Here is a 15,738-nt window from a genome sequence, read left to right on the forward strand (position 1 = left end):
GCTAGAGGTGAGTCTTAACCTTCCAATTCAGCATCTTTTCCATCTGAACATTCAAGTCAAATGGGAAACCTGTTGGCCCTCCAGCTGGATCTTTCCACTGTTTTAACTGGAATGAATTGGATAAGTTATAAGGCAGATGGTAAGATTGGATCTGATGGGATGGAGTTTGGTGAAGTGGAAACTTTTAAGCATTAGGTTTGAGATAGCTAGGGAGTGTTGACCTCTCTTTCCCCCTGACATTATCCTCACATTTGTTTTTATTCCACCATATCTACCTTGATCCACCTGATTCTTTTCATTTTTTTCTTTCATTCTCTTTGTGCTGGCTTTCTTTCCTTTTTTAAAATCCCATGGTATCTCATCATCTCTTCTTGTCCTCCCATTCTACAAATAGAACATGAAATTGAAGCCTTTTTTAAAAAAAAAAAAAACTAATTACAGAATTAATATATGTTTACTATGTACTTACTACAATTAGAAACTATATATAAACAAAAAAGAGAGCTTGCCCATCAATCCACATGCAAAATTGGTTGAGTACCTTGAAGATTTGTAATAGTATATAGAGAAGAACATTATTTTTCTTAACTATTTAAAAGTGTATTCTGCATTCTCAATTAAAAGTCATTTTATCTTTTACTTTTTCTTTTATTCCTTTTTAAGCAACAAATGAATTAAATTTCCTTTGTTTTATATATGACCTATTAACCTCAATGGAGAAAGAGGCTCCCTTTGTTTGCTTCAGGACTTACATATTGTTACAGTTAGTCCTTAGGTAAATGAAATGAGAAGAGCTTCACATCAGCACTAGTTCTTCCCCATGGAATTTTAGTTTCTCCACAACCACTTTACTGAATGTGTATAATTATAAGAATTATTTCATTTTCTTACAACTTTTTCTCTTTATTTTATACTCTCACCCTATTATCTGTCCTTTTTCTTTTTTTTTTCTTTCTTTCTTTCTTTCTTTCTTTCTTTTTTTTTTTTTTTTTGAGACAGGCTCTTACTCCGTTGCCCAGGCTGAAGTGCAGTGGCAGGATCATGGCTTATTGTGCCCTTGACATCTCAGTTTCAAGTGATACTCCCACTTCAGCCTCTTCACTAGCTGGGACTACAGGCTCTTGCCACCCCACCTGGCTAATTTTTCTATTTTTTTTGTAAAGATGGTACTTTGCCATGTTGCTCAGACTGAACTCCTGGGCTCAAACAATCCTCCCCACCTCGGCCTCCCATAGTGCTAGGATTATAGGCATGAGCCACTGCACCTGGCTTTTATATTCTTAATATTTCTTGTTTCTTCTATTTATTTTCTTTACTTTAAACTCGTTGTTATAAAGTGGTATGGGTTAATCAAGAGTGATGGAAAGATTAGCTCTGTTTTTCTGTGTGTGAGTGAAAGATTTAGAAGTAAGAAAATATAATTATTCTTCTTCCCAAAGTAATGATGTTTACCAAAACACTGGTAACATTACTTTAAATTTCCTAAATTTATAATTCAATTTAGTAAAGTAGGACTTCTGAAATGGATTTTTAGATATATTGGGGAAAAACAATTCAGGATCTAAGGTAAACTTTTTAGGATGTATATATATTTGCATGCCATTCATGGTTGTGTTTATCTGAAAACCTAATACATTTTTATCATAAAAATCTACATAATTCTAAATCATCTCAAGTGAAATTAGAATTAATATAAAGAAATAAACAAATATTGGAAGTTAAAATTTTCAGATTTATTAGGTGTTAAACTGAATTTTTCGTCTTCTACTCCTATCCTCCCGTAAACACTATCTAGAAAATTGTCACCCAACCTATTGTAGAACTAAAAACCTAGTGGTCTTCCTCATCTTCATTGTCTTCATTATTTCCACTACACGAAACATTCCCTTGTAACAAATATAATATTCACAGCATTGTGCAAAAAATGTACATTTTAAATTTCTAGTATAAAATTTGATTTGTGACTCTGAGCCCCCAGTTTCCTTAGGGCAAACAATATGGGTGCTTTCAGTTAATTTTAGTCCAATCCAGTAATTTTTCAGTTACTTTTCCATTTAAAACAAGTAGTTCGAGGTTCAGCCTTCTGATCATTTTCCTGATATGGAATCTGGGAGCAGCAGGGAACATAAGTAATGTCACGGTGTCAGGATTGGGAGGTGTGCATTTTGGATCCTGATTAAATGTATCAACGTAGGTAATATATTGTGATTGTTTCAAATAGTGGAGATCAGGAATCCTTCCTGGTACAAATTCAGTTCCCCACAGTAACCTCAAAATTGACTTCAAACCTACTGACTTCAAATCTGACTCATGATGTTTCTCCTCTCCCATCACTTTTCACTGTGTTCTGCTGATCTCCATACTGTTTCCTCAATGATGGGCCCAAAAAATGCTGGAAGTTTTCTTCTATTTCTCTCTTTGAGAATCATGAGGCACTCATTGGGATTGTGGTTCTTGGATTGTTTCCCTCTTTGTATGTATTTATGTATGAGCCATATACAATCAACTGTTCTCTCAATATCAAGAGGTAGCAATTTTAAATGTTCTGTGTTTTAAACTTTAATGTATAACTTACGTCAGTCAATCCTGATAATACCACTATTCTCACTAGTCATCAACATCATTATCATCATTGTCATCATCATGTAACAATTATATAATGGTTAATATTGGCCACAAATCAATCCTAGTTCCTTAAAATCTATTAGTTGAGCCTTATGAAACTGCCCTTTTTGTCGGTTCAAATGGTGAGTAGAAGCAATTTCATATGGTTCAACTTATTATTACTTCAATTTCCTTACAGGCTTACAGCCAACACAGTGATTCAGGCCACCATCATCTCACAACTAGAAATCATCACTGTGGCCTTCTAATGGATATTCTTGCTTGCAATTTAGCCCTCCCCCATTTGTTTGTTGTACTTCAGCTAGGTTAAGCTTTATAAAACACAATAGTATTGAGCTATTCCTCTCTCTAAAATGCTGTCATGGCATCTGATTGACCTTAGTATAAAATCCAAGCTCTGTTAATGTGATTTATAAGTCATGTAGCCGTACATCCCAGTTAGTCTCTGACAGCCCTGGTTTACAACTGCTGCCCCAGCCTAATTAATAGTGGTGTTCCCTTTATTCTCAGAAGTGGACTGGTTTAGATGATGAATTACATGACCACCTTATTTATAATGTACCTCATGCTCTGCCCTGTGCAGTTCTCTCCAGCCTCATCTCTCACCACTTTTTAAATCATAAAAATGAGCTGTATCCATTCTGAATTCCTTTGGATTTATGGAATATATCACTGTCTCTTTCAGTTCAAAGCCTGTGCCCATAATGTTGTCACTGCCTAAAATATCTCTCTGTTAACCTGACTAATGCATACCAATTTTCATGCTCATTTTTCTTTTCTTTTTTTTTTTTTTGACGGAGTCCTGCTCTGTCACCCAGGCTGGAGTGCAGTGCTGCGATCTCAGCTCACTGCAACCTCCACCTCCCGGGTTCAAGCGATTCTCCTTCCTCAGCCTCTAGAGTAGCTGGGACTACAGGCGTGTGCCACCACGCCCAGCTAATTTTTGTATTTTTAGTAGAGACAGGATTTCACCATGTTGGCCATGTTGGTCTCGATCTCTCGACCTCGCAATTCGCCCGCCTCAGGCTCCCAAAGTGCTGGGATTACAGGCGTGAGCCACCGTGCCGGTCCCTCATGCTCCATTTTTATAGTTTCTCCAAGAAGCACTTTCTGACCTCTAGACTAGTTTGAATTTTCCTATTTCTGTACCCATATTGGCTCTATTCTTCCCCTAATCAAACCCTTTTCCCAATTAACCATGTTTATATCCTAGTTTATGTGCTTCCTTTTAGCATGTACCATTGTTTCTCTAGGGCCTTATAAGTATTTGTTATACAGACATTACATATATATATATATTATATATACATGTGTGTATATATATGCATATATATGCACACATGTATATGAGAGTATGTGTGTGCACATGTTGAACAAATTCATGAGACAAAATACAACTTTAGGTTGCTTTTGGACTTTGACATCTGCTCTTGACTTTTTATGTTGAGAAAGGGATGTTGAGAGTATGAAGCACTATAGCAAGGGAGAAGAAAAGAAAGAGAGACCAGAAAAGGGCTGATTATTGAATATCAAGAAAGGAACACATAGAAAACAAGTAAGAGGCTTTGAACTGACAATTTGGATGGACAACTACATTCCATTTCTGATCATCGATCCTGTCTTTGCACTATTGCTTGCACTTATCTTAGCAGGGGCACTTAAAAAGCCTGAAACGCGTATCTTGCCTGCAATGTACAAACTTATCAGAACATCTCATATAGTAACATAATTTTCAGTATAAGTATAGATAGGAATTACGTTTAAATTTGAGTAAGTATTGGACTAAGATTATCTCTCCTTTTTTAAAAGTTGGTAAGTTATGTTAAACAAAAACAAAACAATTTCTAAAATGATGACTAAAAGTAAGGGTTGTTTAAATCCATTTTATAAGATTTACTTCCAGAAGATGAAAGTGGGAAGCTGAAGTGGCATATCATTTCTAAGCTATTTTTGTAGGTTGAATTGCATCCTTCAAAAAGAAATGTTGAAGTCTTAACCCCAGGTAACTATGAATGTGACCTTATTTGCAAATAGGGTCTTTGCAAATATAATTAAGTTAAGGTGATGTCATACTGGTTTAGGGTGGACCCTGATCCAATATGACTGGTATCATAGAAGAGGGGAGGAGATACAGAAATACAGGGAGAAAGCTGTGTAAAGATGGAGGCAGAGATGGGAGTGGTGCATCCACAAGCCAAGCAATGCCAAGGAAAGAAGCATGGACATTTTTTCTTACTGTGTCTAGAAGGAACCAACTAGGCTGACATTTTGGTTTCAGAGTTACAGCCTCCTGAACTGTGAAATGAATGTCTGTTTTTTTTTTTTTTTTATTATTATTATACTTTAAGTTTTAGGGTACATGTGCACAATGTGCCGATTAGTTACATATGTATACATGTGTCATGCTTGTGCGCTGCACCCACTAACTCGTCATCTAGCATTAGGTATATCTCCCAATGCTATCCCTTCCCCCTCCCCCCACCCCACAACAGTCCCCAGAGTGTGATGTTCCCCTTCCTGTGTCCATGTGTTCTCATTGTTCAATTCCCACCTATGAGTGAGAATATGCGGTGTTTGGTTTTTTGTCCTTGTGATAGTTTACTGAGAATGATGATTTCCAGTTTCATCCATGGCCCTACAAAGCACATGAACTCATCATTTTTTATGGCTGCATAGTATTCCATGGTGTATATGTGCCACATTTTCTTAATCTAGTCTATCTTTGTTGGACATTTGGGTTGGTTCCAAGTCTTTGCTATTGTGAAAAATGCCACAATAAACATACCTGTGTATGTGTCTTTATAGCAGCATGATTTATAGTCCTTTGGGTATATACCCAGTAATGGGATGGCTGGGTCAAATGGTATTTCTAGTTCTAGATCCCTGAGGAATCGCCACACTGACTTCCACAATGGTTGAACTAGTTTACAGTCCCACCAACAGTGTAAAAGTGTTCCTATTTCTCCACATCCTCTCCAGCCCCTGTTGTTTCCTGACTTTTTAATGATTGCCATTCTAACTGGTGTGAGATGGTATCTCATTGTGGTTTTGATTTGCATTTCTCTGATGGCCAGTGATGGTGAGCATTTTTTCATGTGTCTTTTGGCTGCATAAATGTCTTCTTTTGAGAAGTGTCTGTTCATGTCCTTCGCCCACTTGTTGATGGGGTTGTTTGTTTTTTTCTTGTAAATTTGTTTGAGTTCATTGTAGATTCTGGATATTAGCCCTTTGTCAGATGAGCAGGTTGCGAAAATTTTCTCCCATTTTGTCGGTTGCCTGTTCACTCTGCTGGTAGTTTCTTTTGCTGTGCAGAAGCTCTTTAGTTTAATTAGATCCCATTTGTCCATTTTGGCTTTTGTTGCCATTGCTTTTGGTGTTTTAGACATGAAGTCTTTGCCCATGCCTATGTCCTGAATGGTAATGCCTAGGTTTTCTTCTAGTGTTTTTATGGTTTTAGGTCTAACGTTTAATTCTTTAATCCATCTTGAATTGATTTTTGTATAAGGTGTAAGGAAGGGATCCAGTTTCAGCTTTCTACATATGGCTAGCCAGTTTTCCCAGCACCATTTATTAAATAGGGAATCCTTTCCGCATTGCTTGTTTTTCTCAGGTTTGTCAAAGATCAGATAGTTGTAGATATGCGGCATTATTTCTGAGGGCTCTGTTCTGTTCCATTGATCTATATCTCTGTTTTGGTACCAGTACCATGCTGTTTTGGTTACTGTAGCCTTGTAGTATAGTTTGAAGTCAGGTAGTGTGATGCCTCCAGCTTTGTTCTTTTGGCTTAGGATTGACTTGGCGATGCGGGCTCTTTTTTGGTTCCATATGAACTTTAAAGTAGTTTTTTCCAACTCTGTGAAGAAAGTCATTGGTAGCTTGATGGGAATGGCATTGAATCTGTAAATTACCTTGGGCAGTATGGCCATTTTCACGATATTGATTCTTCCTACCCATGAGCATGGAATGTTCTTCCATTTGTTTGTATCCTCTTTTATTTCCTTGAGCAGTGGTTTGTAGTTCTCCTTGAAGAGGTCCTTCACATCCCTTGTAAGTTGGATTCCTAGGTATTTTAGAATGTCTGTTGTTTTAAGCCACCTAGTTTGTGGTCATTTATTATGGCAGTCCTAGAAAACTAAGATACCTAAATTAGGAAACAAATATAACTATATTAAAAGGGGATAGTATATCCAATATATTTAATACAGAAAGGATGAAGATATAGATAGTAGAATGATCAGAGGAATAATAATTTTTTTCCCACTGTTCTCAATATCACTGCTAATTCCTATAAGAACACAATTACTCAATCACTAATCTGCTGTAGTAGTCTGATTGATGCTAAGCCATGCTGCAGGAATGAATAAACCCCCAAATCTTAAAATCTTAGCATTATAGAGGTTTATTTCTCAATGATGCAATGACAAATACAGGTCCATCTGGTGACTCAGGGTCCCAGTTGTCCTCCGCTTATGATGTTTCCAACTCAGGAAATGCCTTTTATGGTTGCTATGGCAGAGGAAGAGAGGAGTGGGGAGCTGGCACCTAGGTCTTCAGTGCTTCAGCTAGGAAGTCATAGTCATGACTCTGCTCCACATTTTTACAATCTAAGAATAGTCAGATGCCCCTCTTAACTGCAAGGGGCTGAGAAGTGTAGGGAACACAAGAATATTTTTTGAGAGCTACTATCTCTGCTTACATATAATGGCAGAAGAAATATCCTCCTAAATCTATTAAAATCATACTATGCTCTCAAAGATTCTAGCTGCTCCCTTAATTTGATATTTTATCCCTGCTATAATTTTTACAAGCTTCTTTTCATATATATATACACACACACACATATGTATTTATGTGTGATGTATGTATACATAGCTATTACCCAAGTCTTTCCATTAACATGGTGTTATATTTGTCCTTACCAGAACTACTGACTGCTAACAACATAAAACTCTTTTCCATCCAAAATCATTCCTATTTAAACATTTATTAGTGTTCAATTCTAATACCATTCAACTGCTCATAAAGGAGAAAGAGGAAGAGAAGGAAGAGGAGGAGAAATTTTCCAGGTAAGTTTATAGAGTAAAGGAAACAACCTGCCATTTTGATTGTTTTGAGTATCAATTAAATTATCAGTTAATAATTCAAGAAAATATATCCCAGGAAAAAAAAAATCCCCTGTATAATAAACTAAAGCTTTTTTAACATCCTTCTTAATCCCTCATATGAAAAATTTATACTCCCCTCTTAGATATTAATAAAAGCTCAATGTACAGGTAGCTAGGGTGCCCCCCGTCTTCCCTGCTGGATTTGTAGGTCCTGCTCATGCAGAGGGGTTATTTCCCAGCATGTGGATGCTCTATTTGACTCCACTGTAGGCCAACCACCCCTTCTCATCAATCATGTTGCAATTATTTTTTACACAATTACGTCTTCTTTTAGAGAAGAGAATTATTTAACCAGAAATAACATCAACAAGCCTTTTACAGAATATACATGCTTAAGTTTCACACCATATTGTTGAGATATTTTAAGTGTTTAAAAAATAGTATGTGAATATATTTCGGTTGTAAAAAATTCAAAGGAAGCTTTATACCCATTAGGATGGCTGCCATAATTTTAAAAATGGAAGGTAGAAATTGGTGAGGATGTGAAGGAATTAGAAGCCTTATGCATTGTTGATGGGAATATAAAATGGTGTGACAATCATGGAAAACAGTATGGAGGGTCCTCAAAACATTACAAATAGAATTACAATAGGATCCAACAATTCCACTTCTGGGAATATGCCCCAAATAATTAAAAGCAGGGTCCTGAAAAGATATTTATACATCTCTGTCATAGTAGCATTATTTACAATGGCCAAAAGGTGGGAGAAACCTGGCTGTTGACAGACGAATAGATAAATAAAATGTTGTGCATGTATACGATGGAACATTATTCCGTCTGTAAAAGAGAGGAAATTCTGACACATGCTACCATATGAATGGACCTTGAGGACATTCTGCTAAGTGAAATATACCAGTCACAAAAAGACAAATGCTGTTATGATTCTACTTACCTAGAGTAGTCAGAATCATAGAGACAGAAAGTATAATGGTGATTACTAGCGGCTGCAGGGAGAGAGGAATAGGGAGTTATTATTTAATGAGTACCGAGTTTCAGTTTTGCAAGATGAAAAGCATTCTGGATGTGAATGGTGTTGATGGTTGCACAACAATGTGAAGGTACTAATACTACTGAACTGTATACTTAAAAATGGTTACAATGATGAATTTTATGTTATGTGTATTTTACAATACTTTAAAATAATTCAAAAGTAACATCCTCACTCCCAGTGCTCTATACAGAGAAAACCAATGTCTTTATTCTTTAGTTCTGCGTTTACATAGACACAAATTCTCACATAGCAATATATGGTTTATTCTTTGATTCATTTTTTTTTCACATAAATGCTATCTTAATGCATATCTTGTTCTGCATGTTCAACAATGTCTCAGTCTTGCCATGAGAAACGGAGCAGGGAAACTTCCTGGGCCTAAACTGAATAGGCCATTTTATTCTCTTCTCTGCCACATTCTTTGTGGTTCTGTCTCCACTGGACTGGGACTCTCCATTGGTCCTTTACCAATGAGCCATTCTATTCTCATGAAATATTCATGAGAATGTTTCACCAGATCTAGGATTTCTACATATTACTTCTAACATTTCCATATTTCTTTGCCTAAAATTTTCCATTCTATTTGAAAGTTGTGTGCCTTTTTTCTTTTTCTTTTTATCACCTACATGGGGAGGTAGAGTGTTGGCTTTCAAAGGTGAAATTGCATCTTTCCACAACTCTGAGTTTTCTGAGTTTTGAGTCTGTTCTTGACTTCTTTTAAAAAAAAACTCTTTGGTCATGGTGGCAATAGAGGTTAGAGTATGAATACCAACTCCTCTCGTTTAGGCCTCTGTTCTTTAGATATGGTCATTTTACCGCTTCAAGGATCAGAACATATCATATCCCAAATTTATAATCCCCAGAGGTAACTCAGATATGTATAATTCTTTAATAACAATCTGATTTGTTCTCAATATTTAAAGTGAACCCAAGATGAAGAGTTGGAAAGGAAATTTTTAAAACTCTAATGCTTTAGTAGGCTCTCAAACTGCTGACAGCTCAAGTGTTCTGTCTCTTTGGCAACATATAAAAATCCAGAATAACAGTTAAATATTCCACAGCTAACTATTATTTAATACTAATATTATGTCTTGGTTAATGGAAGACACCATAGACCACATTTTGAATATTTGTGCTCCTTTTTAATATTGGTAATCCTCCTTCTGAGATAAATTCAGGAAATCTGACCTTTCTCCTCAGCCCTTTTGAAATAAAGACCACTTTTCCAATTAGGAATATCTAATGTAGTGTTAAAGCTCAGAGTTGAAAAGATGTTTTAGTATTCATCAGATATAACGTTGTAGTATTATTGGTAACATTGTGAAACAAATTCCAGTACACTTCAGCTCTGCTAACAAAGATGAAATAGAGAATAAAGTAGGTGTATGCTGAATCTTATTAAGGTTGACATCCAGTTTGAATACATTCATCCTCTAAGGTATAGTTTTGGGTATAAACCATCGAGCAAGCACAAAACAGTGAAGCTGAGAGCTGCAGAACATAGAGATCTGGTGGATTCTAAAGGACTGAGAATGATCGATGGCTACTGAAATGAAGTGTGAAATGGTATCCATAGCTGATATTTGTCTTTAACTGATAAAATGGCTAAAGCATTTCCTGGTCAACACACCACTCTCCCTCCTCTCTTCTCATTCCTCTAGAACAGTGGCCTTCAAACTCTTTTCTTGATAACAAATGCACTTAAATTGGAGAATATCTCTCTTTCTAACACACACATAACAAAAATGTCATGAGATGTCTTAAATACTTAGACATTTTACATTCAGTGTACTCCAATATTTCTATTTTATATTCTTTTTTAAATACTGGTTTTGACCTATTAAATGGACTTCAAGAAATTTTTCAGTCTCATCTAGGCACACAGATTTAAATATTACTTCTATGTTAGTGACCTCTTCTGTGAGTAAGCTCCGTCTCTAACTTTCTATCTCCTTTGGATATCCTTATTCGCATATTCCTTCCAGAACGTACAACTTAACGTGGCTTAAACTTAACAGCTAAACATTCTCCCTCTGAAGTATCCCATTCTTTCCACAGTCCTCACCCACCTCCATCAAGTTATTTTCCTCCTGTTTCCAAATTTCTGCTGAGGGTCCCATCAGTCTTCCAGGTGTAAACCATTAGATTCCTACTAGATCCCTATCTTTCTTCCCGTTACTATATCAGTGAGCAAGGTCTTGATTCTATTTCGTTTTTTGTCACAATTAATTATTATTAATAGAAAATAAACACTTATTCCAGTTTCAAAGTTGTTATAATTGAAGTTGCTAATTTTAAAAAATGAATTTTAAATAATCACTTAATAATCCTTCTTTGACTAAGACAATGAAATGTGGCTTTAAAAAAAGTAATCAGCACCATTTGCTTATAGGTCTTTCAGAATTTGTTCTTAAAGTTTCTGGAACTTTCCTCTCTGTAAAGTACAGGAAATACTGAGCTACACTGGAAAGCCTCTCTGGGACAGGCAATGGGGAGTTAAGCAGTCATCATAAAGGAATCAATGTACATTCAGCATAGTGACTTGGACTACACAACAATTCCTTCTCCTCTACGGTAGCTCAAGAGAGACATGCTTCTAAGCACAGAGGTATGAGAAGTCTCAGACTGTTATTTGCTGTTAGAATTGGTCTCCCCATCTAATAACAGTAAATCTCTGGCACAGATGCTATTGGTCCTTAATGTCCTGTGATTTTAGGAAATAGTTTGGATTTAGTTTAATTTATTCAGAAATCAAACATGTTTAATTAGGTTCACTGCTCTGGCAGAGTAAGGGTATGCTGGTTTAGTATCTTTATAATATATATATAATGAGTAGGTAAATCATAGTCTTAAATCATACTTAGAATACTATATTATTTAAACCAATATCTATTTCAACAAAATGTTTATAAATAAAAACAGCTGATGAAACTAAATCCAAAGGTATGACAAAGACGACTCAGCTCTATGTTGCTTAAAGAACTTTAAAAAGCATGTGCCCATAAAGCCGTTCAAGGAGAGGGAAGGAGGTCCCCTTCTCCTTATTCTTACGATAGAATTCCTATTGGGGCTGTGCCAGAAATGAGCACTTCTAAGTATTTCAGAGAAGTCCAAAGTGTTAAAAAGTCTTTTATGCAAAAGAACGTCTTTCTGAATCAGTGAATAGTAATGCTCATCAGAATTTTCTAATAACACAAAAACAAAGCCAAGTCCATACATTTGATCAGTTGTCAAAGTAATGGGAGGTGGACTATTATGTCAACCTTAGTCAGAGCTCCTGCTGGCTTCTTTGTATACACTGTTCACCAATTTGAGTAAAGTGGACTTTGTGAGAGAATAGTGTTTGATGGCCAGGACCTCTTTTGGGCATTTCTTCCTAAGTGGAATACACAACAGATAAGGGAGTAGAGGAGGTAATACAGGGAAGCTACTCATTCCAGCTCAGAAGGAGCAGAAGGAGTTAGATGAAGCCCATATATGCATTCAAGAAGCCAATGGTATCCTCTAGCTGTGGATAGTGGCTAATGTGGTCATCCAGAATCCACACTGTGGACCGCAGCAGCGTTTTCCCGTACAGATCCAAAAACTCTGGATAGGGATTTACAGGATCCAATGGCCGGTAGATAAAATGAATGGGGATAGTTACAGAGGCAAGAGCTCCCACCCAGCGCCTTCTGAGCTTCTTCCTCTGATTGATGTACTGTAAGAGACCGTCAATGGCTAAGTTCCCGTCATTGATGCGGATCCCTGCCCACATGTCCCACAGCTCACTCTCACAGAGCCAAGTACACGGCCCAAAGACTGGGGTGAGACCTCGAGAGAATACAAAGAAGTTCATCAGTCATGTGAGGATGAGTGATAGCACACCTCCATCTTTGAGTAGCTTTTGGAGAAGGAGTGGACGGTGAGTCTCAGGAAAGATACCTCCATTTGACAGACAGACTCTTTATGGTATGCCGACCAGATCGATTCTGCTTGTACCTGTAGAGAAACTCCTGAGCGACAATTATCTCCATAGTCATGAGACTTGATCCTGCAGTTCTGGAGCCCCAGATGCCGCAAAAGCGCTTCCACGATGCTGACCTGCTCAAATATGGAATAGTGATGCGGTCTCGGTTTGTCACTGAAGCCAACGCCAAGAAATCAAGGGCAATCACCCGATGAAACCTCAAGGTCAGACCTTCCCAATTCTTGTACCAATCGTAGCTGGATATTGGAAAACGTGTAAAACCACAACTGTCTCCTGACTTCCAACCACACCCACAGAGTCTTGGTAGAAGATACGCAGTCCCTTGTAAGTGAAAAACTTGCCTGAAGACTTCCACGAGTGAAGATCAGGTGACAGCTGAGTGTATGGGATGTGCAGGTACGCAGCAAGCAGGAGCGCGGCCCACAGCCCCACCTGGACCCACCACTCCCTCATCCTGCGGAGGCGATCTTTGCGCACGGCGGCGTTATCCCACGCTGCCAGCCTCGGCGTTGCAGAGCACGGGGCGCCGTGGCGCCCGCAGCCCTGCAGGGCCGGCCGGCAGCGGGGTCTCAATCAGCAGCCCACAGCCCGCACAGGGCGGCGCCGCGCCCGGCAGCTACAGCCACTCTGACGTGCACGGCGGCACTGCGTTTGCTAGGCGCGACTGCCACAAGGGAAGTGCCCGGGTGTGCTGGTTGCCGTGGCCTCTATTTCTAAAGTATTTCTTATATTTTCCTATTTCTTTTCATTCCTACTGCTTACACCCTCATTGACTGAACTATTGCAACCGCCTCTTGAGGTGACTGAAATATTCATAGATATTGCAGTTATTCTCCTTTTGGGCATATAGTAGGATTACATTTGCTCACCCCTGAAATTAGGCATAGACACCGTCAATGAAATGTGAACAGAACTGACATGCTTTACTCTTAGATTGAATACGAGTTTTACAAGCCAGTGCATAATTCGCCATGCTATAGAGACAGATGATCTTCCAGATGGATGCCTGAGTGTAGAATATATAGATCAGTTCCCCCCACCCTTCACACATGGGCCCAAAATGTACACGGAGCAGGAGCAAGAAATACACGTCCTTGCTATCTTTGTTAGTTTAATCCACAGAGACTTTGGAGTCTGCAGTTATACAGCATCCTAGCCTGTCCTGACTGATATGATCCCTTAACTGATTTTTCTACTCAAAGTCTCTTCTCCCTCCGATTATTCTACATCACTATCATATTAATCTTTCTGAAATAGAACTCTAATTATATAAATTCCTTATGAAAATCTTTGAATATTTCCCTGTTATCTTCACTGGCTTTCAAGACCATCACAGTGTGCATCTCAACTTCCTTTTAAAACACCCACGGTTTCCCTACGTGTACACACACACTTTCTAACACGTTCGCTTTTCTGTTCCTATGATTCTAAGATGCTCTCTGCTAGTCCTGTCTAAGTGCTACCTATTCTTAAGTAACAGTTCAAATGCCAGTATCTCTATGAGGCTTTTTCTGGATCTCTGCAAAAAAAAAGGGACAAGAAACACCTTCCTCCCAAAGGAACAAAGAATGGCAATTACTTATAAGTAAGCCAGATTTTAGCAATTGGACCATTTTTGTCTTAAATATAACTAACCTGTCTCTATAGCTTACAAGGTATTCATAAATTCTTCAAACAAAAGAAATTTATCATAAAGGATACAGGTAAAAGTTCTGTGAAATTGTTTAAAAAATAACTAAATAAATGAATTCCCAAATGATTTTGAGTCTTTATTGTAGTTCTTATCACACTTTGCAGTGGCCATTTCTAGCACTTTTCAGGCAATAAATGGTCTTCTTTCACTTCCATATTATTGAAAATTCTTTTGCATAATGCCTAGCAAATATCTTAATGTTGAATATCTGAATGAATGAATGAATGAATGAACGAATGAAATTAAGGTTGCATTTTATTTTAAAACTACCGTTTTTTTCTTCAGAAATCACAACGAGGCAAATGTTGCCAATAAAATAGTTATTAAGTTAAAAAACATAAATATCTGAGAAATGAACTGAGAAAAGGAGAAATCCTTACAGGACATGAATGGTACAGGAGAATAGTACATATCAAAGGGTGAACTCTGGGTCACAGCTTGTGGGATCAGGCAAGAACATGTCTAGTCATAGTCTTTCAAATAATCTTATTAAAAATTATTTTTTCTAAGATCCACTTTTACTCTTTTCTCTGACTAATTTTATTTAGCTTTCAAGCATTTCTTTGTGGCTTCAGTTTTGACTTCAGTTTTTAAACAATTTAAACAAATAAAAATTACATTACAGAATTGTTACTTTTAAACTCTTACTTTCCACGGGGACTGTTATTGTAAAATCTGTTCTTATTCTTTTAATTTAACTCCATTATTTTGTTTTAAATGTAATGATTGTTCATTATATTTTTCTCCAACTGCTTTAAAAGCACCAATCCTTCTTTGCTGTATATGTATCAAAGTCCATAAATATTCTTTGACATTATCCTAGCCTTGAATAATAAAAGGAAAAAAACCTCTCACAACTTTTTATTCTACAAAATAATATTAAAATATGCCCCTATTTTTACTGTAAATGTAATCTTCACAGCAACAGTCAAGAGAACAAGACTGAGTCATTCTTCATCACACATTGCAAGGGCTATGTCTCCTCTGTTGTGAGGAGAATATTGCCCTGCAGCAATATTCTCACAAGTGGAGCTCTGGGTCATTGACTGCACTTTTGCTAATAAGAAATCTTCAGTAGGAGTGACTGGGCCTTGTGCAAATCTCTCCAGTAGTTTCTTCCACTAGTGACGCATTAGAGCCTCAGAATCAATCACTCAACAAGTGTTTACTGAAAGCTTACTGATACCCAGACCTTAAACTGTTACCAAACAGAATGCCAGATATGGGATATAATTCCAGCCTGAAGAGTTTATGCTCAAGACAAGACTTACATATATTACAGAGAAGCGTAAC

General features: G+C 37.3%; 1 protein-coding gene and 1 pseudogene across 2 annotated transcripts in view; one reads left to right on the plus strand and one right to left on the minus strand.

Moving 5' to 3' along the window:
- Window positions 1-15,738, plus strand: part of LAMA2 (laminin subunit alpha 2) — a 633,429-nt gene that overhangs the window by 33,622 nt on the left and 584,069 nt on the right. The gene's annotated exons all lie outside the window — the stretch shown is intronic.
- Window positions 10,997-13,457, minus strand: MESTP1 (mesoderm specific transcript pseudogene 1; annotated as a pseudogene).

Source organism: Homo sapiens, chromosome 6 (genome assembly GCF_000001405.40).
Source record: "Homo sapiens chromosome 6, GRCh38.p14 Primary Assembly".
Classification (NCBI taxonomy): domain Eukaryota; kingdom Metazoa; phylum Chordata; class Mammalia; order Primates; family Hominidae; genus Homo; species Homo sapiens.